The sequence below is a fragment of the Homo sapiens genome, chromosome 15, assembly GCF_000001405.40.
Source record: "Homo sapiens chromosome 15, GRCh38.p14 Primary Assembly".
Taxonomy (NCBI): domain Eukaryota; kingdom Metazoa; phylum Chordata; class Mammalia; order Primates; family Hominidae; genus Homo; species Homo sapiens.
In genome coordinates, this window is record NC_000015.10 from 100919714 (window position 1) to 100947005 (window position 27292).

Consider the following 27292-nt stretch of genomic DNA (forward strand, 5'->3'; position numbering starts at 1 on the left):
TGGGAGGGGAGCGCGCGGGGCCCGAGCAGGGAACCCCGAAACCCCGTCCGGGCAGGGTCGGGAAAGCTGGGAAGCGGAGGCAAGAGACACGAGTCGGGAGACACGAGCCGGGGAGCCCATAGGTTTCCTCTGCCTTTGGAGCGAACCCAGTCCCTTAGCGGGGAGCGGGCGGAGTGTGAGCGCGCGGGTGAGCCCGTGCCGGGGTGTCGGCAAGAGACCGCCCGGGAGCCTCTCGCTGGTCCGGGGCTTCCTGGGGTTGCGGGGCGGCCCAGCGAGGCTTCACCCTCCTCGATGTCTGGGTCACGCTTCTTGCCCAGGTGGTCTCTGGCTGGCGCAGATACAACTGCTCTGTCTACCATGGTCTCTGCAAGCTACAGGGGACCTTCCTGGCAGGCAGGGACGCGGGAAGGAAGCCTAGGAAGGCCGGGGTCAGCGAGGAGACGCTGGTGGAGAATCTGAGAACCCCCGTGGCCATCTCAACCTACCCCTTCACAGTATGAGGCCGCGAAGTTTTTCTCCCACGAACACTTCCCCTGCAACAGGTAGAGAAACGGGGGCATATAGCTTTCAGCAAACCTCTCACCGTGTACACTAATGATAGAGTTTGCCAGCCACTCACAGGGTATCAAAATGCCCAGACATTAAAGGGATAGCTAGAACATGCACAATTTTGGAAAATGTTAACATTAAACGCCTTTTATGATTTGATTCTCTTCATCTTTGCCTATGTCCTGAAAGAGAAAATAATATAACAAACTAACCTCACACCTAATTTGTTCCTAAAGGAGGTTTTGCGGTCAGCCAAACCTTTCCCTCTCCCAAAAGTCGATGTCTCTGGCAGTGACCTCGCAGTCAACTCGGATCCTCAGATAAAAAACATTCAGTCTGTTGAATCTATGTCTAAAATGTGTCCTGATCTGTCCCCTTTTTCTTATGCCCCCACCCCCCACCCTGCCCCTTGTCCAGGGTACCAGCATCTCTTTACTGTAGGATTTCAGTTCCCCCTTCCTCCATTCTCTATATAGCAGCGTGCGTCTGTGTGTGTCTGTGTGTTTAAATGGGTAAATCAGACCATATCAGTCCTCTTTATGGAGTCCTTCAGTAGCTTCTCCTTGCAACTGGCACGCAATCCAGGAGACCTCCTTCTCCTCACACCCCCAGCTGATCCAGCCTCTGCTGTCTCGGACCACCAGGCCATTGCCCCAGGCCACACTGGCTGAGCTTGCTGTCCAGCACTGGTCCCCTGCACTGCTGCCTCCTGACTCTTCACACAGCCTCAGAAAGTCTTCCCTGGTCACCCTCTGAAAACCCACGCTCCCTCTCACATCCCTCACTCTGCAGCCTCCCTGCAGTCCCCATTCTGTACTCCTTCTTTATCTGTTTAATTTCTCCTTAATTATCTTGTGGTCTCCACTGGAGCTCTTGGGGTCAGAGACTGATCTGTCTTGCTTATTGCTGTGCCCTCATTCCCATAACTGTACAGGGAGATACCCCGTGCATGGTGGTAGAGTGACTGGATGGGGAATGGACAACCCTAACTTACCTGTGGTTTCAGACTCATGGAGCATTTCTCTCCTCCACCCTTTTTGGGCTCATCTGGGATTGAGAACAACATATTTCTCTGGCCTGCAGCTCCAAGATATTTGGATGCCCCCAAACCCATTAAACACATTTTATAGGCAAAAGCCAATGCTAGTAAGGGATGCAAATAGCACTCAAGAGATTTCTAGAATCATGGGCTAACCATTTTGACCAGGATTTTGTTTCAAAAAGGAACTAGGTGATATGAATGAGCATGTCTAGCATGCTTTGCTTGCAAGGGACTTCTAACTTCTAACTGATATCGACAGTCCTTCCCAAGCCTCCTAAAATATCTGGGCTTCTCTGCTGTCAGAAGCTTTATAGCAATTACTTAGCTGTCTGCTCCCCCACCAGCTTCACAAACTCATGAAGTTCCCTCTTCATAGAAAGAACTCAATAAGACATTTGTAGAATGAATGACAGGTTCTTCTCTTTTCTTTTCTCTAGAGTCTTGCTCTGTCACCCAGGTTGGAGTGCAGTGGTGCAATCTTGGCTCACTGCAACCTCCACCTCCCCCAGTTTAAGTGATTCTCATGCCTCGGCCTCCCAAGTAGCTGGGATTACAGGCGCCCACCAGCATGCCCAGCTAATTTTTGTAATTTTAGTAGAGATGGGTTTTTACCATATTGGCCAGGGTGATCTCGAACTCCTGACCTCAAGTGATCCACTCTCCTCGGCCTCCCAAAGAGCTGGGATTACAAGCGTGAACCACCGCACCCATCTATTTTCTTTTCCATTAAATGTTTAGGTTTATTCATTAATGCAGGTATAAATAGTTGGCAAAAGGAAATTGATGAGGTTTTGAAAAATCATTTAAACCATCATTACTGCTGAAAACCTCTTGATGCCCTCTTTAGGGTGTATAATGAAGACATGTAACTTGTAATCATCACTTGTTGGCACCTCTCTGGACCCAAAAGAAGCAGGAGGAAGCAAAGATCCGTTTGAGGGCAAAGATTGAGCAAAATTTGAATTACCTCATCTTAAAACTTCTACCTTAGAATATAAGCCAAAATAGTAACTAGAATTTTAAAACTGCTCCAGGGGCAGAGTCTTCCACTGGTAAAGTGATTTTCAAAAGGAAACTGAAAATGAAAAGGGGAACAAAATGTGCTGGGTGAGGGTTAGCCTGAAATAATTTTAAGATTTTTTTTTTTTTAGAACTTAAAAACATTGTATGGTAAGACACTTCTGTTTTCAGGAAGAATGTCTAGCGTTTGGATTTTTGAAATGCTGTTGGTTATGTGCGGTAGCTGTTTTGGAGAGGTGTCTGAAAGCAGATGGCAACTGTGCTTCTCAGTTTCTGGATGTGAATGTGTGATCGGAACGTTTATTTTAAAACAGATTCTGTCTTGCTGGCTCTTCCTCTCTCTGTCACAAGTTGATTTTCCAAATCAGGTTTTGCTATTTATAAGGCTTTCATCATCCCCTAAATTTTGCCCAGATTGATCGTTTTTCCTTTCCTCCTTCGACTTTTCAGGCTTCCCAACTTCAAACACAGGTGTTTCCCACACGTGGTTTGTGTCGACCATCCCTTTTGCCTCTGAAACATGTGCAGCTTGCACAAGGCTGCTGGAGCCTGGCTTTTCTAGCTCCACCTTTCCCTGCCTTGACGAGTCCAGTCCACCTGGGCCAGGTGCCTGAGTTCTAGGCTTTTAGGTGAGAAATTCCCACAGCCTTGTCCTGTACCTTACTTCGTGCCCCTACTGCTCACGGCATCTTCTAGAACCTACCCGCTGGTGAGGCTGGCATCTGCCCTCCAGCATTGATATTCTGATCTTATTAATTAGCAGGGAAGTGGGAGACCCGCTGGCCTCCAAGTCTGTGCGCTGGTACTACAGGTAATGACCACCCCAGCCCTGTCGTAGAGAGAGGCTGCAGAAACTTCACTTTGGTTGAATTCACACAGTAACCCCACTAGCAGGCCCGGGCATAAGGGTGGATGTCTATTTTTAACAGGTGAAAACTGAGACACACATACCTTTCAGCTGGGAGTCACACTGCGAACATGTGACACAGGCAGTCCACACCTTTAACGTCCACGCTATGCTTTTGCCTGTACAGATTCTCTTAGGCATTATTTTTATATAACCTTGATTTAAAAAATATATTTTTGGCTGCACTATCACTCCCCATTTCAGAGTTGTCTATCTGAGAGAACACAGACAAGAGGTGCTAATTACCTCGTACTTCATCACATGTAGGATATGCTATAAGAACAAGGATAGGCGCACATGCATTACTTATGGTAGTACCTCATGTCAGGCCTGAGCTAGGCATGGGTCTTACCCTCCCTCTGGTCCTTCAATCACCATACCAGGATGGGCACTTATGCCCATGGGGGGACTCTAAGCTCAGTGGGGGCCCAGCATAGAAGAGCAGCACTTGGTCTCAGTTTATCATAGTCATTAGTTTCAGAGATTAGTCTAACTCCACCCTGGAACTTTTGGGGCCAGATAATTCTTTGTTGCAAATAGCAGTCCTGTACATTGTAGGATGTTTAGCAGCATCATTGACCTCTACCCATTAGAGGCCTGTAGCACTCTCCCCCAGCCAAGTTGTGGCAACCAAAAATGTCTCCAGACATTGCCAAATGTCCCCTGGGAAAGGGGCAGAATTTTTGAGGCTCATGTCTGCTAACCTCCGTCATTTAGCTTTCTGCTAAAGCTCATGCTAACTTGACTTCATAACCAGTAATAATTCCATGTCTTTGGAACTGTTGCCTGACCACCCCCTTGGGATGACGTGCTCACCTCTGGCTTCCAGAAGAACTGGCCCCGGGCAAAAGGAGAGCCTTGTATCGTGACTAACCTTAACTATGTCTGCCCTACCCCCACTGGAGTGTGCCCCTGAGGGCAAGAGCCTCCTTGAGCCATCTTGGTGCCACTGAGCCTCACACAGAGCCTGGCTACCTTGCATGTGACAGTAGGTGTGCGTTGACTGAACAATGATTGAAGCTGTTACCAGTATGTGTTTTCCAATTGTCTGGGGTTTGTTTGAGACTCTTCTCAGGTAGACAATACCTGAGCCCCGCATCAAGATGGGATGGGGGGAGCTGTGCCTTCCCACTGACCACACCTGATGGGTTTGGCTGGATAGATGGACTACAAAAAGGAATGTTGCAGAGGGAAAACTAAATGAACCCATGCAAATATTTGCAGGGGAGGAGGACAGGAATTATAAAGGCTTTCTGTTTTGATTGTTTTTCGCCACCAGAGCAAGAAAGCTTTCTGCTCAGCCATGGCTACGAGTCCACGCCTTAATGCACCCCACAGCCAGCGGCAGTGGCAGTGACAACAGCGGGACCTGCCTTTGAAGATCGGCTGCTGCAAGGGTTGATGGCTGGCATGTCGCAAAGACCCCCCAGCATGTACTGGTGTGTGGGGCCGGAGGAGTCAGCTGTGTGTCCAGAACGTGCCATGGAGACGCTTAACGGTAAGGACAGGGCTGTGCTTATGCCTGCCTGGGTGTGACCTGCCATGCTCATCCTGCAGGGTGTCTAGGCTATGTAAGAACAAGGAGTTCTCAACCAGTGGAAATCAAATGTCCATCATTTGGTGCTCTTTCATCATATAATATATCTTGGGACTCTTAAATTCTAAAAATTGAGGAACAGTGTACAAAATTTATTGTGGACTCACAGATCTTAACAATTGGGACATCACTTCATGCTGGGTTAAAGAACTTTTAAGAAAAAGGATGTAGTTTTGTTTTTTCATTATAAAAATAATACATGTTTATTAAGGAAAAATTGAAAAAAATAATTTAAAAAAAAGGAAGAAGGGAAAGGAATCATCCAGAATCCCGCTATCTCAAACACAAGTACAATGAGCATCTTGGCATGTTCTCTCCTAGTCTCTGCTTCTCTGTGTTTAGGGGACTTTGTTTTAACCTTATTGTACTTACAAGGTGTATGTAATGTTGCATGTTGCTTTTTTCTCTTCACCGTCCATCAGTGACATTTGCTTAGGGCACCACCTGGCTCCCGCAATCAAGTGAAACATCATTTCATTTATTTTATTTTATTTTTTTACGATTTAATAATTGGATCAAAAAATGATTCATAAATTGGGCAGTACTCCGAACCAAAACAAACATCATTATCTGCGGGAGTGCTATGTGCAGTTATTGACCTAATCCTTATTCTCCTGTGGGACATTTGGGTTGCTTCTAGTTGTTTACTCCTACTGAGAGCATTTCCTTCCCATCTCTTCATACCTGGTTTCAAGGTTATTTCTGTAATGCAGGTTTACAGAAGTTGAATGATTGGTCTTGAACATCGTTAAGCTCTTGGCACGTATTTTGCCAGATTTTCCGCTACACTTGCACCACCTTTAAGACCAATAGGATATCATCGTTTACAAATATTTGTCAATCCCTTAGTATGTACCAGGCACTACATGTACAAAGTTCAGAACTTTACGAAATAATGTCATAAAATCCTCACGACAACCTGGCACATGGTACTTTTATTTCCGTTTTATAGCTGAGGAACATGAGGGTAAGAGAAGCCTGGAAACGTGTTCAAGGTCAACAACTCAGAAATCACAGAATTGCCATCTGAACCCTGTCTTAATGCTGCAACACTCATTCTTAAATGCTAGGCCACACTATGGGAGGTGAAAGGGTCAACAGGTTGGGTCTGAGAGGCCCACGTTTGTACCCTTAACCGTGTTAACTAACGATCGGCCACTGTACCTGGCTTGGCAGACACTTTGTTCAGTTGTTTGAGTGTTTTCACTCCATCTGAAATGTCCAGCAGCTGACCAGGGTGATGTTTCTGGAAGGTGTCGTTTCACATCCATCACATTATGAAATGGGAAACGAATTTGCTTCTTGACATTGCCCAGCACTAAATCTTTCCAGAGTGTTCAACTTGCATCTTTGTAAATTTTCTTTTTCTTTGTATTAGACGTGTGTCTTTTTTCAGTTGTGTGGTAGGAAGACCTTGCTCTGTTGGTGTGAGATCGAGGTGGCGTGGGTGATAGAACGCAGTCCCCGATTTGGGGGTAGCACCTCCACCTTTCCAGTGCACGTGAGGCTCCCTTATCCTCCTGCTGCTCCTCTTCGCAGCCCTGAGGGACGAGGGTGGGGACAGGGACCTTGGGTCTGTTTGGGGCCTGTAGGGTAGGTGACTGTGTCATCTGAAAAAGCCCACAGGAGGCGCTGCTCCCTCCCCTCCTGGTCAACAGTTGGTGATCTAAAGGAGTGCTTCTCAACCACGGCCCACACAGTCACTGGGTAGTGGCTCAAACCGGCAGGGCCCTGGCACCACCTGGACCCACTGGAGCAGCATCTTGGGGCAGGGGGGCGGGGAGTGAACAAGCATGGGTAATTTTTTCTTTTTCATTTTCTTTCTTTCTTTTCTTTTTCTTTTCTTTTTTTCTTTTTTTTTTTTTTTTTTTTTTGAGACAGTGTCTTGCTCTGTCACCCAGGCTGGAGTGCAGTAGCATGACCTCAGCTCACTGCAACTTCCACCTCCCAGGTTCAAGTGATTCTCCTGCCTCAGCCTCCTGAGTAGCTGGTACTACAGGCGTGCGCCACCACGCCCAGCTAATTTTTGTATTTTTAGTAGAGACGAAGTTTCACCATGTTGGCCAGGCTGGTCTAGAATTCCTGACCTCAAGTGATCCACCCACCTCAGCCTCCCAAAGGGGTGGGATTACAGGTGTGAGCCACGGCGCCCGGCCAGCATGGCTAATTTTTCAAAGTTCCCTAGTGATTCTAACGTGTAGCTAAAGTTGAGAATCAGGCCATCTAAATGGTTTGAGTCCCATAGAGCAGCACTTCTCAAATTATCAGGTGCACATGTCCCCTGGGGATCCTGATGAAATGCAGAATCTCATTCAGGAGGCCTGGGGCACAGACAGCCTGCGTTTCTAGGTCCCCAGGGATCCCCCGTTGATTCTTACAGGTCCCAGGGACCGGGGCGCAATGGGCTTTGGACAAACCCATCCCCACCTCCAAGCTCGTGGCAGGACAGATAACCAGAAAATGTTAAGGTGTTCCGAAAGGCCAAAGTGTGGCACTCCCCAGCCCCCATGATTCTCCCTAAAGGCCTGCATCTGAGCTTGGCACTGCTCCTTAGGAGGTGTCCTCTCCTGACTCTGCTCTGATGGCCTCTTTCCCCAGTGGGATCTCAGGAATCCCTGCTATCCCTGTTCTGTATAACCCAAGGGACACACACAAGGGCCAAGGACCCTGACGTGACCTCAGCAGCCTTCACTGTGTACTGTTCAAGGAGCTTGAAGTAGGGACAGGACAGGGAAGTGACACCCTGGGAACCCCTGAGAATGAGGGAGGTGTTTGTGCAGTGACCTAATACAGAGAACACAGAGTTGAAGAGGAGAGGAAGATAGCCTGAAACACCCCAGAAAGTTCTGTCCCCTGTTTAGCATTAAGAAAATTATGTTACATGTTAATGAATTACAATAATAACCAAATCCTCATAAGGAATCTGGTGAGAAGCTACTAATTTATACCCATACTCAGAGTTTTAAGGTCCCACAGGTGGTACCAGCAGAACTGAGCCTGTGAGCCCCAGCCCTGGAGCTCACTAACAGAAGTTATTAATTCCAGGGACTAAAGCCTACAGTGCTCCCTCTGTAAAGCCCAATTTTAACGCATTGCATGTTGGATTTCATTTTCGCAGAATATATTAATAAATGTGTACACTAAGACTACAGCCAAGGAGCAGGTAATGCTCAAAGGGTGGCGTGTGGCCACGTCTGTGTGCTGGGATTGCAGTCACTGTGCTTTGCTCATCGGTGCTGTTTATGTTTCCTGCAATATCTACACATTGCTTTTTGTTTTGTTTTGCCTTCTTTTGCATCCAGACGAATAATATTGCAAGTTATTTTTAAATTATTGTTTATTTAAGTACTGATGATTTGTGTTTAGAATCTAAACGGTAAACCTCCTGTGCTTACATCCAAAGTTAGATCTGCCTCCACTGGCCTCTTTGCCTTGAAGTCTTTCTGGAATAAATGCGGAATACTTGACTTACTATGACTGCAGCTGATCCCCCCGCAGGACTCACCCTCTGCACATGTCCCCAGAGCCTAAGCTGGATTTGTCCCATCCCACCTTCTCCTAGACTTCCTGGGATGATAGGGAGCCCTGTTTCCCCTCTCCCACCCCCCAAATCCACCAGCCTCACTCAGGGAACACTGTTCAGGCCTAATTTCCAGCTCCGGCTGAGAAAAGTTGGCCGCCAGAAGGAAAACTAACGACACTCAAAATTATGTAGGGACAGCTTTCTCATGCTTTAAAAATCCTTGGAAGATAACGTGATTGAAAACGACGACGTTCTTATTATACTTCCACGTGTGCGTTAGAAAAAGACCCACACTTTAAAAAAGAGTGTCTACTCTTGGGTGTTGGGGTAATGGTATTTTTAATTTTTTATTTGTGTACTAGGCACGCCTTTTCACACCCCCTACCTGTTGTGACTTGCGTGACCTCAGCTCATGTTTGTTTACAATGGTTAATCCTTTCAAAGCCCCTGGATGTGGGGGGCTTTGCCCAGCTGGTGTGAGGCTGGGGTCTGTGTGTGTCTGCCCTGCCGTGCGGCCCGCTGTGTGTTTGTGCAACACAATTGTGTCCCAGGAAGGTGTGTGACAATCTCAACCTCATTAGCACCAGCAGCAGTCAGCTCGCCTGCGGTGCAAGAGGAATGGTTGGAAAGCTTTGATGGGCGTAGAGTTTGCCAGCTGACAGAGCAGCTGTCAATGAGATGCTGGGCATGGGCTGCAGGACGCGCATTACTTTGACAAACATGTCATTAGATGTTCATTCTTCTGAGTATGTCTGACACCAGCCAGAGTGGAAAAACCAGTCCCGCCAGCCAAGGAGAGCTGTCCTGGAAAGTAGAGAAGTCAGGAAACTTCCACATAATTCAGGTGGAGAATACTTGGGAAGACTTCTGGATTGCGGAGGGTGGGTGGAACTTGAGCAGACATCACCCAGGCAGTGGCTCGCCCCCCCAGCTCTCTGTGAGTGGCCGTCGCTTCGGTCCTGAAAGCCCTGCCACAGTCACACACCTCTCAGAGCACTGCCCACCACCGGACCCAGCATGGACCAAAGGAGGAGAAGGAACATTCCAGAAGTTCTTCAAATCCCAGGTTGTTTCATGGCTACTTCCAATGTCTTGTTTTTTTCTCCTTTGGCTTTTGCGAATCTGTATTTGAAATACAACTCCTTAATATAGGAGCTAAGAGGTTTGCTCAAGTAGGGTCTCTTCCTGCCTTCCAGAAATAGAACTAGGAAATAGATCAAATTAGGAAGAGCCTCTAGGGTGGCAGCCAGCCTTCTTGTCAGGCCACAGCAGGAAAGTCTACGAGGGACAGATCCCCAGTGATGAGCCAGCCCACATCTCTGACCTGTTCCTCCTGTTGGATTCCTGCCTGAACGTGCTGGGCTGTGTTCACACCGTGAGAGCCACAGGAAACAGGGCAGGCAGGGCCTTGCAGGGAAGGAGATTCCAGCCTGGCTGCAGGAGTTCACCAGCCCCTCCAGGGAGCACAGCCACGTCTGGTCAGGAATCTTTTAATGAGTGAGGAGAAGGACAGGGAAGCTGATTGGTGGCCCAGGTGGCAGGCGAGGTGGCTGTGTGCGTCCATCCATGCAGGTGGCAGTTAGCACAGCTGTGCTTCATGCTTACAAAGCAGAGGCCAGCTACAGATGCTCCAGGCCCTTGATGAGCCTTTGAACATTCGTTTTAACCTGAGGCTTAGATCTTCTCCTGGTTACTTGTCTGGAATGTGCTTGCTTACTTCTAGCAATGGGGAGCTGACTCCCTAGCAAACAACGCCAGCCTTTCTGTGGGCAGCTCTGGTAGGAAGTGGATGCTGTGGGGCTCTCTTTGCACCAGGCTTTATTCATTTAGACAGATCGGAATCCCTTAACCCATTTCTTGGAGTCACTAAAAGCAGATGTGTTGCCCTCCCTGCAGATTCCTTTTTAGGCTGAGTAAGCCATCCCACGGACAGGCCGCCGGCAACTTTACACGTTCCGCTTGGATATCCAAGAGTTTTTTGACTTCTCAGTCTGTCTGTGGGCTAATTATTAGGCCATACACACCTGGGTCCACAGGGAGAGCTGCCCCTACCTGCTTCCCCACCCTGCCGTGGACCGGCTTTCAGGAGCACCCCCACTGATCCACCCCATCCTAGGTGGCCCAAGCCTGAATGTGGTAGCTCACCAGAGCCCCAGTCCTCACCCCCTCCCTGGCCTCCCCCACCCCACACTTGCTCCTGACTTGGCCTCCTTTATGTGGGGTGTGCAGGGCAGCCCTATCTGGTGGCCTCTGTGCTTGCTAGGGAGCAGCCCAGGCTCACTTGGCATGCATTCAGCCACCAAGAGAGAAGATTTTCTTACCAGCCATCTGCCCTGGCCCCCATGAAGAGATCAGTAGCCTGAGAGCAGGGAGATGTCCATGTGGGCCTCCCCAGGCCCCTGTGCAGAGCGACAAGGATTTTCACCCCTCCTGGTTTGCCTGAGTCAGACTTTGAAGGAGCCATCACTAGGGATTTTTATGAAATTCTTTAGTTCTCTGGGAATGGAGCCCTCCCACCACTCCCAATGCCATGTAAGTCTAAACTTGAGTGTGTGAATTGCACGCACATTTTTGGAAAGTTTGATGAATGAAAATAAGAAGCTGCTATTATTCTTTGGAAGTCCCAATTCTGAGTCCCTTCACTATTCAGGCCACCCTTGGGTTCAGTTTGTCCAGATTCCACTTAGCCATCTTGCTACTTATTGGGTGACATTTGTCATAAAAAAGAAACGAGAAAACCGAACAGAAACACATATCTCAAGCAATAGAGTCCTTCCTGAGCTCATCACCCCCATGCTGCACAAAGAAGCACACATTAATCAGAACTTGTATTTTCAACTGTAAAGAACTTTTGAGGATTGCAGTTCCTTTTGCTAATGCTGCTGGGGTTGTGCCTGGCGACATCCTCTCATCCTCCATTCAACATCCAGCACCCAGGGGCCGTGGCACATTGCCAAATGTTGGCTTAAAATCACCTACCTGGTCGTTTCAGGAGAACCGAGAACAAAAATAACTTACGTGACACTTTGAACTTTTCAGTGACTCAGAGATATTTAAAGGCAGAGAACATCTTAATCGATTATTTTAAATATGAAGCCATGTTACGATGCAAATTTGAGGTTAGAAATTGAATGTAAGTGGACAGGAATGGCTCTCTGAAGTTCCTGTTAGCAGCTTAGTTTGGACTTGACACAGCCGTGTGAACTCAGAGAGGCAAGTGGGTGGTCACAGGTGGCCCACACCTGCAGGGTTAGAGATGGAAGGTTCAGGGCCTCGATCTGCTGGTGGGGCTGGCGCGGGAGGCCAGGGCAGGGCTCCTCCAGTCATTCTGCCCCCACCCCAGCTTCCAGGCAAAAATGGCTCCAGTGGGCCGTCACTCCAGTCTCTGTGCAACCTTCACCAGCACCCACGGGTTCAAAAATAAGAAGCAAGCGAAGAACCGCTGCCTGACAGTGCACTATGAGCATTCTCCTGGTGCCTGACTCCTCCCTGAAGGTTAAGAAAAAAGTTATTTATATGGAATTCCACAATTCACACAGTGGATTGACATGATAAGAGAAAGCCACAGTTATTCTTGGCCCCCTTTCCATCATGCCCATGGGTAATCACTGTTAGCTGAGTGTGTTTTCTTTTTGTTTGTTTGTTTGTTTTGAGACGGAGTTTCATTCTTGTCATTCAGGCTGGAGTGCAATGGCGCAACCTCGGCTCACTGCAACCTCCACCTCCAGGGTTCAAGCGATTCTCCTGCCTCAGCCTCCTGAGTAGCTGGGATTACAGGCACTCGCCACCACGCCCAGCAAATTTTTGTATTTTTAGTAGAGATGGTGTTTCACCATGTTGGCCGGGCTGGTCTGGAACTCCTGACCTCAAGTGATCCACTCGTCTCGGCCTCCCAAAGTGCTGAGATTACAGGCGTGAGCCACAGCACCTGGCCTGAGTGTGTTTTCTTCCTAACCTCTTCCAAAGCACATGTATGGTTATCTTTGTATATATTTCTGGTTTTACATGCATATTCAGTTGTACATACTATTGTACAACTTTTTTCCCTTGAGGATGTCTCAGAGTTCCCTCTATATGCACCACATCTGGTGTGAATCCAACCATCTTTCATCAATGTCTTATTAAAGGGTCTTTAGATTCTTTCTACCTTTTGCTTCTAAGAGTTGAATATTACTGCATATGCCCCAGCAGAATGGCGGGATCACAGAACAAGCACATTAAAAATTATCAAAGGAAGGCATACCCCTGGTTAATGAAGGCTGTCAGACAGAAGGGACTATAATATAGGAAAAGCAACAAGGCCCTGCCCCAGTGTCAACTTCCCAAAAGAGTTGTTATTTCCTGTTTCTGGTTTTAGTTCTTCAGGTAATTATCATTTCTCAATGTAAAGAAGATGCCTGCACCTCTCTATTGCTGATCCGTTGAAACAGTGCCTGTTGACTTCCTGCCATAATAAATGAATATTTCCTTCCCTTTTGCACCCCATCTATCTGCTGCTCCCTCTGCATTTCATTCTTTTGGGGCTGACTCATCCCTAGGTTACATTTGTGACTTTAAATGACATGTTCCCTTCGTGATGACGAGTGCCTGGAGACCCAGTGTTCTGTGGAGCCCTGGAGATGAGAATCACCCCCTTCCCTGCTACCTCCATCGGCCTCCCGCCTCCCACCCAGGACTCTTACTTTGCACCTTTATTTAATTGGAATGCATCAGCAAGAAAATGCCTAAGAAAGGCCTCCTGGGAGGCTCCTGCAGGAGACTCTGTGTTCCTGAGGGCATCTTTATTTTGCCCTCTCCTGCGATCTCAATTGGAATCCTCTGCCTTTGGAACCTTCTCCCTTGTCCTCTGATGTGGTGTGATTCTCACTGCCCTGTGGTGACCTGGTTTTCCCTTTCAGAAGCTTTCAGAATCTTCCCTGTGTGCTTGGTCTTCCAAAATTTTCCAACGAAAGACCTGGGTGAGGGTCCTCTTCCATTCCTGCTGCTTGGCACTGGGTGGGCCAAGCATGTATCCCTTTCATGCATGGGACATTTCTTGTATTTTCTTTGATAATATTTTTCTCTTCTGCTTTCGCTATAGTTTTGTTTTGTTTGTTTTTCTGGAACTCCTATTAATTAAGATACAGGTTGCTTATCTTTTCGCTCACATTTTCCAACTGTTGTTCTTTTTCTTAATGTTTATAAACTTTTGACCAGGTCCAGTAACACACTGGTAATCACAGCTCTTTGAGAGGCTGAGGTGGGCAGATCACTTGAAGTCAGGAGTTCCAGACCAGCCTGGCCAACGTGGCGAAACCCCGTCTTTACTAAAAATACAAAAATTAGCCGGGTATGGTGGCACACACCTGTAGTCCCAGCTACTCAGGAGGCTGAGGCATGAGAATCGCTTGAACCTGGGAAGCAGAGGTTGCAGTGAGCTGAGATCACACCACTCCACTCCAGCCTGGGCCACAGTGCCAGACTCCATCTCAAAAAAAAAAAAAAAAAAAAAAAAAAAAAAAAGATTTGCTTGACTTCATCTTCTAACCTGTCTATTGAACATTTCATTTTGGAACTCAGTCTTAATTTCCAAAACTCTTTCCTGTTCTTGGTTGTTTATTTTCATAGCGTTGTGCTCCTGTGTTTTGTACACAGTATTTTCTTGAATTTCCCAGAGGATCCTAATTGCCATTTATTTTATTTTATTTTGGTGTCAGTCTTATCTTCTCAGTTAATTTTTATTTATTTATTTAAGATGTCAAAATCATGTATTGAAACCAATATTTTACAGTGAATTCCAGACAAATCAATAATTATATGATTCAAAGCATTATTAGGGAAATTTGCAGTCAGCTGACTTTATAGGCAAAGAATGTCTATAAATTACATAGAAAGCAACTTCCTAGGATACTAAGTCAGTGAAAATGCTGGCAGAAAAATATTTTTCACTGGCACTTATTTTTGAAGTTCTTTTTAATGACCTCTGCATTCTCTACATTTCTTCTAAGCCCCAGCTTTGTGTTTGTCTTTATTAATTCAGCATGATTATTTCAACCATTCTTAGGCATCCACTTGTGGAGGACACTGTTCCAGATGCTGGGGACACAGCAGGAGTGTGGCCTCTGCCCTTACAGGGCTTCCAGTTGTAGCAGGAAAAGTAGACAGCAAAGAACAAGAGAGCTGAGCAAGGTAGCTCATGCCTGTAATCCCAGCACTCTGGGAGGCCAAGCAAGTGGATCACTTGACTTCAGGAGTTTGAGACCAGCCTGGCCAACATGGCAAAACCCCATCTCTACAAAAAAAAAAAAAAAAAAAAAAAAAATTAGCCGGTCGTGGAGGCACACACCTGTGGTCCCAGCTACTTGGGGGTGCTGAGGTGGGAGGATTGTTTGAGCCTAGGAGGCAGAGACTGCAGTGAGCAGAGATCACACCACTGCATTTCAGCCTGGGTGACACAGCAAGAAACTGTCTCAAAAAAAAAAAAAAAAAAAAGGAAGGAAGAAGAAAACCAGAGAGTGATGCTCAATGAAGCATTAGAGTAAGATCATGTACAAAAGAGGCACAGTGTGGCCATTTTGATTTATTATTAGGTAAGACATTGATGTTGAATCTCAGGTCTGCTCAGTTGACCAGAAGGAGGCAGCCACAGGAAGGCTGGGAAGAAGAGGGTTTATTGAACATACTGAAAATAACAGAGAATGATCTGCTCAGCCCTCCCTCTTGTGCCTGGTCTTAGTCCTACACTCCAGGCTATGTCAGAGCCTGCTATGGTCAGGGCTCTGGGAAGCCAGGAAAATGTCCTCATGATGTTTCTATTCCAGCAGGGGAAACACAGTAAATAAACCTGCACTCTACTGTCAGGAGTGAACAGGGCCATGACAGAAATCAACCAGGTTGCAGGGATGGAGAGTGACAGGCATAGGGCACTACTGCTGGTCAGAGATCAGGGAAGGTGTCTGGGGGGAGGTGGCATTTACACAGAATGAAGTGAATGGAATCAGGTCAGTCCTGTAAAGGAGCTGGGGAAATGGTGCTCCTGGCAAGGCATCAGTGAGTGCAAAGGCTGGGCAGCGGGAATGAGCTCGGTAGGTTTGACTGACCGCAAGATGGCCTGTGCAGTTGGGGCAGAGTGAGAGAAGCACCAAATGGGGCTGGAGAGGTAAAGCCTTCACAGCAGGAGTGTAGATTTTGTTCCAAGGCTGATGGACACATCTGAGGAGCTGCATGGTTTTATTTAGGGAATTAGAAGGCTATTGCCAGAGCCCTGGAGAGAAGGCACCAGGAGGGCCAGGATGGTGGGGTAGCAGTGGGAGGAAGAGAATGCACTGGGAATAGGTCTCAAAATAAAGCTATCAGGACTTGTGTGGGTATCCACACACAAGTATGTAACAAACCACCCTATCACTTGCTGGCTTAAAAGAACAACGAATGATCATTTCCCAGGTTTCTGTGGGTCAGGAATCTAGGCAGGGCCCAGCTGGTGGTTCTTCTTGCTTCACTCCCATGTCTGGCCCCTCCGTGCTCCTCCACATGACTTCTCTCTCTTCCACACACCTTCTCATCCACCGCATGTCTAGCCCAAGCTTCTTTACAGCCTACTGCCGAATTCTTGGAGTTTAGCAGCAGAAGCCTCTAGGCCTCCCAAGGCATAGGCCTAGACCTGGTACAGCATCACTTCGGCCACTACCTGTGGGTCAAAACAAGTCAAAGGCCAGTCCAGATTTAGGCCGGCACAGGAAATAGACTCTACCTCCTGGTGAGAGGAGCAGGCTTTGATACGGGTTAGGTGAGTGACGAGTAAAGGAAGGAGGGATCAAAGATGTACCCATCACTCAGATTTAACCAACATTCGTTATTTTGTCATTTTTGCTACAAAGAAAATATTTTAAGAAGTCAAACCTTACAGGTACAGCCAGAACGCCTTTGGATCTCTCCCTGATCACTGCTCTCCTTCAACTCCAGGGGTAGCCATTATTCTGAAGTTAGTCTGAACCCTTTATGGCTGTATGTGTGTGTGTGTCTGTAAATACATGGTATCATTTCTGCCTTGCCAGGTGGATTCCCCCTGGGCTACCATCTATTGCGCAGGGGTTGGCATGAACTCCACAATGTCATCCACTGAGATTAGGGAATAGGCTTTATTAAGAGAAAGAAAATCACAAAGCCTGAATCTGCAAGATGGCATGGCATGTGGCCCCCAGCCTCTCCTTTAACAAGAAGCTATGCCAGGGCATCTACTGGATAGGGCTGGATGGGGCTGGGTTCTACTCCAGCCAAGGGTCCAGCCTGGGTCTTCCCTCTCAGAGCCCAGCCTGTCAATAGCATGCTAGCTGTGGGTGCTGGCTGCTTCTATGGGGCAACTTGGGGTCTGTGGGATGTGCAGTCCTCTATGATGAGCCACTAGACCCATGGGAAACTGAGCTTGGGTGCTATCACTTCAGCTGGGAGAAGGAGGCATCTCAGCTGGCTCATTGTCCAGCTGTGGTAGGGATGGGGTAACCAGAGTCCTGTTTTGTCAATCCTGCTCCTTTCAGAACAGTTTCCATACTAAAAATGTTGGATTAAATATTTTCATACTATGCCAGTCTTTTTGCATCTTGCTTCTTCAACCAACATAAGTTTGATAATATAAGTATGTCCTATATTTTCCAAGAAGCAGAATACATCACTTTGCCTATAAAACCATACAGGCCTGGTGCTTTTTAATGGGTAGATGTCTCACTATTGATTCTCTGTCTTTAAAGGTTATAGGTTTATGTAAATGTTCTATTTCTTCTTGAGTTATTTTATGCAATACAATTTTTAGATAGTTATCCATTTAATCTAGATTTTCGAATATTTTAGCATGAAGTTGATAATGGTTCAGGATTTTAAAATATATTTTTAAACTATCTTATTCATTTTTAATAGATGAATCATATACTTACACACAATTTAAAAGAAGTACAAAAGGGAATACAATAAAAAGTACCCATTCCCGCCCCCTACCCAAACTTACTACCAATTGCCGTCTCTTCCAAAGAATCAGGGCTACTATTTAGTTCCCCTTTTTTATTGGCCTCAGAAACCACAGTTTTTAGGCCTGGACTCAAAATGGCACATTTTTCTCTTTTCATAAGTCTTTAGCTACGTGGAACTTTAAAATGTTATATTTTTGTCTTAGATTTCTTTTTTTAAAATGTTTATTTATTTATTTATTATTTTATTTTATTTATTTATTTTGAGGCGGAGTCTCACTCTGTCCCCCAGGCTGGAGTGCAGTGGCGCGATCTCAGCTCACTGCAAGCTCTGCCTCCCAGGTTGATGCCATTCTCCTGCCTCCACCTCCCAAGCAGCTGGGACTACAGGCGCCCGCCACCACGCCCGGCTAATTTTTTTGTATTTTTAGTAGAGACGGGGTTTCACCGTGTTAGCCAGGATGGTCTCGATCTCCTGACCTCGTGATCCGCCCGTCTCGGCCTCCCAAAGTGCTGGGATTACCGGCGTGAGCCACTGCGCCCAGCCTATTTATTTCTTTATTTATTTACTTACTTACTTAGAGACAGGGTCTCACTCTGTCACCCAAGCAGGAGTGCAGTGGCGACCTCTCGGCTCACTACAGCCTTGACAGCCTGGGCTTTAGCGATCCTCCTACCTCATCCTCCTAAGTAGCTGGGACTACAGGCGCACACCACCATGCTTGGCTAATTTTTGTATTTTTTTTTTTTTTGTAGAGATGGGGGTTCACCATGTTGCCCAGGTTGGTCTCGAACTCCTGAGCTCAAGCAATCCACTTGCCTCAGCCTCCCAAGGTGCTGGGATTACAGATGTGAGCCACCACACCCGGCCACTTTTTAAAATTTTTTATTACAGAAACTTTTGAACACAGTACACAAGTAGAGAGAATATTAAAATGCACCCCTTTGTACCCATTACCCAATTTCAGTAATTATCACACATGGGCAATCTTTTTTTTAACCCTCTTGTTTTTAGTTGACATGTAATAATTGTGCTTGTCTATGGGATACAGAGTGATACTTGGATACATGTATACAATGTGTAATGATCAAATAAGGATAATTAGCATATCTATCACCGCAAACATTTTTCATTTCTTGGTGTTGGGAACATGCAAAAGCCACTCTTCTAGCTTTTTGAAAACAGACCACAAACTATTGTTAACTCGATTCCCCCTCCAGTGCTCTGGTGCACTGGAACTTACTCCTCCCATGCAGGTAACCCACCTTCTGCCATCCTCCCTCCTTCCCCCACATGGCCAATCTGCATCCATGTAAACCCCCTTCTCTCTCTTTCCAGATGATTTAGAACCCAATTCCATACTTATAGCTTAAGAAGTCTAGAAAAGAAAAAACAAAATACATTTAACATACGTTTAAATGTATGTTTAAAAGTGTATGTTAATGTATGCCCACAATAGCATGCTGTTGACAGGCTAGGCTTCTGAGAGGGGAGACCCAGGCTGGACCCTTGGCTGGAGAGGGCCGGGTGTGGTGGCTCATGCCTGTAATCCTAGGACTTTAGGAGGCTGAGGTGGGTGGATCACCTGAGGTCAGGAGTTTGGGACCAACCTGACTAACATGGAGAAACCCCATCTCTACTAAAAATACAAAAAACTAGCGAGGCATGGTGGCGGGCACCTGTAATCCCAGCTACTCGGGAGACTGAGACAGGAGAATCGCTTGAACCCAGGAGATGGACGTTACAGTGAGCCCAGATCATGCCATTGCACTCCAGCCTGGGCAACAAGAGTGAAACTCCATCTCAAAATAAATAAAAAAGTCAAAATATCAAATATCTAGTCAGTGTTCAAATGTCCTGCATTGTCTCTGTTTTTATCACTGGTTTGTTTGGGGCAGGTTTGTTGAGTCAGTGCCCTTGCATGCTGGGACATGGGACAGTACAGTTCCTAAGTCTCTTAATTTCTATCTTTCTCCCTCAATTTCTTTTTCATTGCAGTTTCTTTTGTTGATAAAGCCATATTGTTTGTCCTTTGCAATTTTCCACAGTCTGGATTTTTGGCAATTGCATTTCTATGTGTGGCCTGACATGTTCCCACCTTCCCTATGTTTTTGTAGATCCAGAGGCCTGATTAGATTTAGTAAGATGTTTTGGCAAAAATGCCCAATAGATGGTGGGTTCTTCCTCCTGCATCACCTAGTCACAGAATGTCTAATTGTCTCTCTCTGATGTTTAGAGTTTTTTAATGATTTTCAGTGGTGTCAGCGCAATCACTCTTTATAAACGTCCTAATGGTTTTTCGACTTTTCACACAATGGTTTTATCAGTCATTGATGGTTGCTTAGATCAATTATTTAATTTGAGGTTGCAAAGTGGTGTTATTTTAAGTCTATCTTACCTTCTTCATTTATCAGCTGAAAGTGATCTCTAAAGAAGAAATTTCTTCCATTAACTCTGTGGTACCCTGAGTTACAGTTTGTACAGCAAAGTCGGGGTAAATAGTTGGGTTTTTTTCTCTTAGTTTTCTTATTCATTCTACTGAAAATAAGTCAATTCCCTAGCACCTTTTGAAGGCGGCCAATGAAGGTGGGGTTTTTTTTCCTTAGTATCATTATGAACTCATGAATTTTAATTTATTTGATTCTTGATGCTAACGCTGTTCCTCTTTTGCCAGTAGGCCCCCTGAGTAGGTTCCTCTATCTTTTGGCATGACCCCAGAAGTCTTTGATAACTTCCTTGCTTTCTGATGTGACAAGACATCCAGGGCCAGATTGTCCATATCCTGCCCCGGATGCACGATGCACTGTTTCTCCAAGAATCCCTGTGTCCTTTGCTGATGATGCCATGATTTTAAGTTCTCTAATATAGTTTTATCTCTTTGTTTCAGATAATGCTTTTGTGTTCTCACATGTCCTGCTCTCTCTCTCTCTCTCATTTTGTTGTTGATCAGTCTTTCCATAAGATTGTTTATTTCACTAGTCCTTCATTCTTCTTTTTTCTAAATTTACTCTTCTTGACTAGTATCCTGTCACTTCTGAGGACTCATATTTTTGCAACTTGAAAATTATTCTTATTTATTTAAGTATATGTTTCTGAAACTCTCATTAGACACATTTTGAAAAACTTCAAAAAATATCTTCAATGTCTCTCACTCTTTTATCTCTGCTCCCGGCCTCCTTGTCTTTTGGTGCTGCATCCTCCTCTTGGTCTTCCAGATTCCTGATTTGTCCTTCAACGGTGTCTCTGCTCTGCAGCTCACCCACTGTGCTTCACAGTGCAACTCTTCTCGTTTTAATTCCCAAGAGTTTTAGTTGATTCTTGTTTGTGGATGCTGCATCCTCCTGTTTCTCTCCAAGACATCAGTAATATTTATTCTGAATTCATTCTCGCTCTGCTAACATTAATTCTGTGTAGAGAGGGGCCCTGGAGGTGCTGGAAAGCTGGAGCCTGAGATTCTGCTTAGGGAAGCTCCCATGCTAACTCAGTCTTTTCCTCCAAGATAAGGATGAACAGTTGACAATACCAAGCTGTGTTGTGAATCAGGAAAGCCCAAAGCTGTCTTATCTCAGTGACTGTGTGATTTGTGTAGGTTTGCCCCGAACAGTAATGTGAGGATGCAGCAAGATGTGCAGGCCCTCTGACCTGGCTAGACCCTGCCTTGCAGAGACATTGTCACTGTCAGCTGCTCACTTCCTCCTGGGGACTCTGAGGCCCAAGGGGGACAGTGGTGAAATATGACACAGCTTCTCCCCTAGGTGATCAGACTGCTTCCAATGAGCCTGTGCCCTTGGCTACATAAAGAGGAAACATAAATATTTTCTGTGTGTGTGTGTCTGTGTGTGTCTCTTTGTATGTGTGTCTGTGTGTCTGCATATCTATGTGTGTGTCTGTGTGTCTTTGTGCATGTGTGTTTCTGTGTGTGTCTGTATGTGTCTGTGTGTGTGTCTGTGTGTGTCTGTCTGTGTGTGTGTCTGTGTCTCTGTGTGTGTCCGTGTGTGTGTCTGTGTGTGTCTATGTGTGTGTGTCTGTGTGTGTGTGTCTGTGTCTCTGTGTGTGTCTTTGTGTGTGTGTGTGTGTGCCTGTATGTGTGTGTCTGTGTCTCTGTGTGTGTCTGTGTGTGTCTCTGTGTGTGTGTGTGTCTGTGTGTGTGTGTGTGTCTGTGTGTGTCTATGTCTCTGTGTGTGTGTGTGTGTGTGTGTGTGTGTGTGTGTGTGTAAGGTGGGATGTCTCTTCCTGCTGATCGGTGGCCTGCCTGTGTGCTGGCTTGGTTAGAGGAGTTTCGTGCTTCTCTTTATGGCGCTGCTCTTCCTCAGATGCTTGCGGGTGCCTGGGTGGATGCTGACTGTTCTGCTCGGGATTCCCCGTAGCTGTCTGTGAACACAGCATTTGTCACAATAGCCTGCGAAGAGGAGGGCCAGGGGACTGTAGCAGGCTGCCTTGGGGACATCCAGAGCATGGCTTCCGGGTGGTGGGCTCCGTGTGCCTCCTGGGAGTTGCCCAGCACACTTTCTCTTTAGCCCACATCGAGTGTAGACCCATCAGTCCCAGGCTGCCTGGCACAAGCTGGAGAGGGGCCAGATCCACAGGAGTCTGCCCACTATGGCTCCCCACTCCTCCCAGTCGCCCTGCTGGTGACCTGGGGACCCTCTTGCTTCCCATGTCCCCCAGCAGCCTCGGAGCTCTCCCAAGCCTTCTCCACCTCACGCACAGTGGATTCCGGTCTTCTCAGGTCACTTCTTTTCCCATGCTAATAAGGCTTGTTGATATTTGTAATAATTTCTAAGGATTTGGAGCAGGAGGTGGTGGCTGCAGCCGGGCTCAGCCTACTGTCTTGATCTCATCTTCCAGCGTCTCCTGGGCATCTCCAAGGTGTGCACTTGCAGGAAATACTGAGTGAGAATGTCAAGAACCGGCTCTACAGTCGGAAGGAACCGGGTTCAAATCCTGATGCTTCCACAGCTAGTCCTATCTGTGACAGGGGCAGGGTTAGAATCTGTTTGCGGAATGGTTAGCACCATACTAAGTGCACATGCTAGGCAGACCCTCAAAAAAAATGGCCTGTTCTTTTTCTCTTTCTCTGTTGGGCAAATTATGTAGCCTCAACTGGACTCTATTTCTATTAGGGAAAATGATAATAATATTACAATGATTAAAAAGTAGGGTCCTTACAAAATGGTGAGTCCGATTTTATTTGGCTCTAAGCTAGAGAAGGCATGGCTCACAGTTATGGAAGACATGGATTTAAAATGTGGCCAGTCTTCATTTCCAAATGTGTGTACACGAAAGTGTGATGACCCTCAAATCTAATCATCAAAATTAAAGCTGTTTAATTAACATTTTAAATTAAAATGTTTCAATTAAAGTCCAAATCTTTCCTTGCCTTATCTTCAGAATGCTTTTTCTTTTCTTTTTTTTCCAAATTACAAAACCTGTATGTCTCACTGAAGAAAACTGGTACAGTGTGAAGTTCGACAATTCACGGAGTAAGCAAGGCTGACGATGGGTGCCCGGAGTCCCCCTCTGGTTCTGTTGGTAGCAGCCTTGGGTCCTCATGAGGCCTCTCTGCTCACAGTGGGCGGGTGGGGTGTGCACTCACCCGGAGACGGCCTCCATGTCCATGCTGAACAACTCCCAGGGTTCTCCATCCGCCAGTGCTTACTGATCAACCCGTAGTGCTGGCCATCCCTTTTCAACAAGTTTGGAAGGTGCTTTTTTCCCGGTTTTCACAGAGTAACTCAGAAGTGACTTAATAAAAATATGCACAAACTGTCTTGGTATGTTCCAAATTGGGATCTTATATAAAGACTCCTGGGCCTAAGGCAACAGTCTATGTAAAGTGAATTATTTCACTTTCTTAAAATAGGGACAAGATGGCCTGCCTTTCCTTCAAGTGTAATTTTAATCTTTCTGTTTTACTCCAAGGGGGTGTAACAGCTTGCTGAGTCATTGTTTTCTGCCTTTTTAATAAAAATTAATTCAGTGATTTAGAGTGGAAATTCTGCCCCCTCCCTTGGGCAAGTCACTGACTCTCTGGGGACCTCTTTCTTTATCTGTAAGCAGAGCTAATACTAGCATCTGATGGGGTTAAATGAATTAACCTAAGTGTTTCCTTTGAATATTTACTCACTGCCTTTACAAAATAATGTTTCTATTCTCACTTTCTCCCCCAAATTTCTACAAAACAACAAATTTCTATCTTTGTTGTTATTGCCATATGATTTCTAAAAATTTAAATAAACAAGCAGTAGCTTTAGGAAGTTACAAAGATAAACTATCAGAAACTTACTGAATTGGATCTTAGATAATGTCCCTTTTTACTTGGTTCTTTTTTTTTTTTTAAGCTAAAAATAAGTTTAGTTCCTCCTCAGTTCTTGGCATTTTTGTGATCATTTGTTTGCAAGTGATCGTATCTTTTTTTTTTTTTTGTCACTCAGGCAGGAGTGCGATGGTGTGATCTCGGCTCACTGCAACATCCGCCTCCTGGGTTCAAGCGATTCTCCTGCCTCAGCCTCCCAAGCAGCTGGGATTACAGGCGCCCACCAGTATGCCCAGCTAATTTTTGTATTTTTGGTAGAGACAGGGTTTCACCATGTTAGTCAGGCTGGTCTCGAACTCCTGACCTCAGGTGACCTGCCCACCTCGGCCTCCCAAAGTGCTGGGATTACAGGTGTGAGCCACCACACCCGGTCGTGATCCCTTATCTTAAATGTTCAGCCTCCAGCCATTCATAATGAATGCCTTGAACACAGGTCAGAGAAAAATCATGAAGCGGGGCTGTTAGTGAGGTTTGGGTGGGCATGGGGCCTCACAGTGGGGCCCAGACATTCTCAGAGTGTTTCAGTTGCTGAGGAATCATGGAGCTTCTTGCTTTAATATCAGGATATTGCTCATGAAAAAAAGGAGGAGACCTATTGTTGTTCAGCCAGAGCTTGTACTAAATGGAAGTAGTTTGCACCATACACAAGCAGGCTTCTCCATCCAGGAAAAAGATCTGTGACTGCAACAACCACAGCGCAGCATTGATCTAACTCAGCTATGCACCAAAAACCCAGCTGCAGAGCAGTGCAGCACCCAGGAAATGTTAACTCTCGCTGCAGACTGAGGATCTTCTCAGAGTTTGTATCTTAGGTCGAAGGGGTGGGGTAGGCAAGCTTTCACTTCTGTTCAGCATTATCTTTTACAAGGATGGGTTTGTGGCATTTGCTTTAACCTTTCGGAGGCTACACTGTAATCACTCACTGGGTTCACCTCAAATCCTCACATGATAGACACCAGCCTACAATTCTACCAGCTACGGAGGACTCCTGATCTTGGCTTTTTTGCTTCTATTTTGTGTGCTTGCTTTTGTGTTTGGAAGGCAGATGGCAGTCCTAGTATTGAGACAAATCAGCTGGAGTCAATTTCTGTTGTTTGAACTTGAGGGTATATATCTCAGCCTGGAAGACATGCAGAGGAAAAGGAAGAAAACATGACCTCATATTTGTTCCCTTGCCAATATGTTAAAACTTTAGTTGTTTGAAAATGTCATACGGTCTTATGGTTCAAAAATCATAAGTATCGATCTACAATCCTGAGATTCTTACATCCTTCCAGAATCTTTTTTATAAGTAAAGAAGCAAAACAAAGATAGAGTCTGATTTTTCCCCTCTTTTACACAAAATGTAGCTGATCGCAGATGCTGTTCTGTGCCTTGCCTGTTTCTTTCACACATTAAGGGTGTCATTGGCCTCCTTTTAGTCAACTGCATAGTGTTCTGTGACATGGATGCAACTCAGTTATACAGGCGGTCTCCTCTTCACGGGCATTTGGGCGATTCCTAACATGTGCTGTAACAAATAATGCCAGATGTCTGTTCCCATGTATAGAAGCTCATCTATACAACACATTCCCAAAGTGATGGGTCACGGGGCATATATGCTTCGAAAAATCTGACAGATGTTGCTAAGCAGCCCTTCAGGAGAGTTTTTCCTGTTTATGCCCCAATCCCTGAAAACATGTGTGCGTGTCTGTTTCCCAGTGGCTGACAAGTATTTATTACCAAATGTTTGCTTTTTCCTAATGTGATATGTGAAAAATGGTACCTCAGCCTAGTTAGAATATGCACTTCTCTTACGATGAGTGTGACCAAGCATGTTTTAGCATGCGTAAGAAGTAGCTATATTTACTTTTTTAAAAACTATCTCTGCAGAGCCTCTTTTTTTTTTTTTTTTTTTTTTTTTTTTTTTGACAGAGTCTTGCTCTGTCACTCAGGCTGGAGTGCAATGGCACAACCTCGGCTCACTGCAACCTCCGCCTCCTGGGTTCAAATGATTATCCTGCCTCAGCCTCCCGAGTAGCTGGGATCACAGGCGCCCACCAACACACTGGCTAATTTTTGTATTTTTAGAAAAGAAGGGGTTTCACCATGTTGGCCAGGCTGGTCTCAAACTCCTAATCTCAGGTGATCCACCTGCCTCGGCTTCCCAAAGTGCTGGGATTACAGGCATGAGCCACAGTGCCCAGCCTTCATATTCTTTATTAATCAATTTTTGAGGAACTCTGATTTTCCTTATCAATTTCTAGGCGCTGTTAGTGTCGGCACGGTATCTATTCGTTGTTAACCTATAATTAGATGCTCTATCAAGATCTATCTAAGAACACAGAAAACTGAAATGAAAACTTTGAATATTCAAAGAGGCTATAGAGGAAATACGCTGCTTTTTTCTCTTAATTATTAAATGAATATGTTAAATATAAAATACTTAGGGGAAATAGCGGTAAATATATCAGGCCTACCTAAGAACACCTTAAACTCTTGACATAAAGGATATTTGAGTAAGAAAAATAACATATCATCTTCTTGTGTAGGAGGACTTAATATTGTAAATATATCAATTCTCCACAAATTGATCCTATCATTTAATGCATTCTCAATTAGAATACAAACAGGATTTCTTTTTGGAACATGGAAAAAGTATAATAAATTTTACCTAGAGAAATAAACCTATGAGAATACAGGAAAGTTCAGGTGGGGAGGGGATGGGGTGAGAGGAGGGGAGGAGATTAGTTGCAGCGTATGCTAAAATTTATTCCAATGCCACCATAATGACTGGGGTTGGAGACTAGCGAGACAATGCACAGAGAAAGCAATGGAACAGTGTGGCAATCTGAAAATAGGCCAAAATGCACATTGATTTTGCCTTGCTAGTTAGAATTATAATTAGTCCAGGAAAGGTTTATTTGGGAATAGCATAGGGGTAACATATTGCTTTCTCACTCCCACTCCAACATCATTTTCAGATGGATCAAATCTATAGCATGGATGCAACTCAGCTATACAGGCAGTCTCCTCTTCACGGGCATTTGGGCGATTCCTAATATGTGCTGTAACAAATAACGCTAGATGTCTTAAGCATAAAAATCAACACCACTAAAAGTCTAGGAAAATGATGAAACTAAACAGTTTTGGAGTAAAGGATATTTTTCTAAGCACAGCACCAAACCTAGACATCATAAATTTAGGAGAACTTGAATGAATGTTGAACAACATACCAATTAGAACTATTCAGTAGCAAAGCCCTTCTTAAGTGCCAGTCAACGAATAGGTAGAAAACTATTTTCAACACAGATTCCAAAGAGCTCTTTTCCTTCATTTGCAAAGAGCATTAACAAAAAGAACATTCCAATTTTCTTTCTTTCTTTTTTCTTTTTCTTTTTTTTTGAGACGGAGTCCTGCTC

At 45.5% G+C, this 27292-nt stretch overlaps 1 protein-coding gene across 1 annotated transcript in view, besides 8 other annotated features; it reads left to right on the forward strand.

The window, feature by feature from the left end:
• The window catches only part of LRRK1 (leucine rich repeat kinase 1), a 158901-nt gene that overhangs the window by 357 nt on the left and 131252 nt on the right, over window positions 1–27292 (forward strand). Inside the window, exon 2 of the mRNA NM_024652.6 lies at window positions 4798–5016. Coding sequence (NP_078928.3) covers window positions 4920–5016 — 97 coding nt within the window. The 5' untranslated portion in view covers window positions 4798–4919. The remainder of the gene's footprint in view (window positions 1–4797; window positions 5017–27292) is intronic.
• Window positions 95–686: an enhancer, noted in NCBI's record as "H3K27ac-H3K4me1 hESC enhancer chr15:101460013-101460604 (GRCh37/hg19 assembly coordinates)". NCBI's record gives its function as "activates a minimal SCP1, AML or CMV promoter by ChIP-STARR-seq in naive H9 embryonic stem cells {active_cell/tissue: H9 hESC(naive)}" and the evidence as "EXISTENCE:reporter gene assay evidence [ECO:0000049][PMID:30033119]".
• Window positions 1213–1272: an enhancer, noted in NCBI's record as "active region_10176". NCBI's record gives its function as "activates an Ori minimal core promoter by ATAC-STARR-seq in GM12878 lymphoblastoid cells {active_cell/tissue: GM12878}" and the evidence as "EXISTENCE:reporter gene assay evidence [ECO:0000049][PMID:35858748]".
• Window positions 4446–4946: an enhancer, noted in NCBI's record as "H3K4me1 hESC enhancer chr15:101464364-101464864 (GRCh37/hg19 assembly coordinates)". NCBI's record gives its function as "activates a minimal SCP1, AML or CMV promoter by ChIP-STARR-seq in naive and primed H9 embryonic stem cells {active_cell/tissue: H9 hESC(naive and primed)}" and the evidence as "EXISTENCE:reporter gene assay evidence [ECO:0000049][PMID:30033119]".
• Window positions 4947–5447: an enhancer, noted in NCBI's record as "H3K4me1 hESC enhancer chr15:101464865-101465365 (GRCh37/hg19 assembly coordinates)". NCBI's record gives its function as "activates a minimal SCP1, AML or CMV promoter by ChIP-STARR-seq in primed H9 embryonic stem cells {active_cell/tissue: H9 hESC(primed)}" and the evidence as "EXISTENCE:reporter gene assay evidence [ECO:0000049][PMID:30033119]".
• Window positions 6551–6744: a silencer, noted in NCBI's record as "fragment chr15:101466469-101466662 (GRCh37/hg19 assembly coordinates)". NCBI's record gives its function as "represses an EF-1alpha promoter that drives an FKBP-Casp9 reporter gene in an ReSE screen in HepG2 liver carcinoma cells {active_cell/tissue: HepG2}" and the evidence as "EXISTENCE:reporter gene assay evidence [ECO:0000049][PMID:32094911]".
• Window positions 9605–10558: an enhancer, noted in NCBI's record as "H3K4me1 hESC enhancer chr15:101469523-101470476 (GRCh37/hg19 assembly coordinates)". NCBI's record gives its function as "activates a minimal SCP1, AML or CMV promoter by ChIP-STARR-seq in primed H9 embryonic stem cells {active_cell/tissue: H9 hESC(primed)}" and the evidence as "EXISTENCE:reporter gene assay evidence [ECO:0000049][PMID:30033119]".
• Window positions 21825–21964: an enhancer, noted in NCBI's record as "active region_10177". NCBI's record gives its function as "activates an Ori minimal core promoter by ATAC-STARR-seq in GM12878 lymphoblastoid cells {active_cell/tissue: GM12878}" and the evidence as "EXISTENCE:reporter gene assay evidence [ECO:0000049][PMID:35858748]".
• Window positions 22005–22154: an enhancer, noted in NCBI's record as "active region_10178". NCBI's record gives its function as "activates an Ori minimal core promoter by ATAC-STARR-seq in GM12878 lymphoblastoid cells {active_cell/tissue: GM12878}" and the evidence as "EXISTENCE:reporter gene assay evidence [ECO:0000049][PMID:35858748]".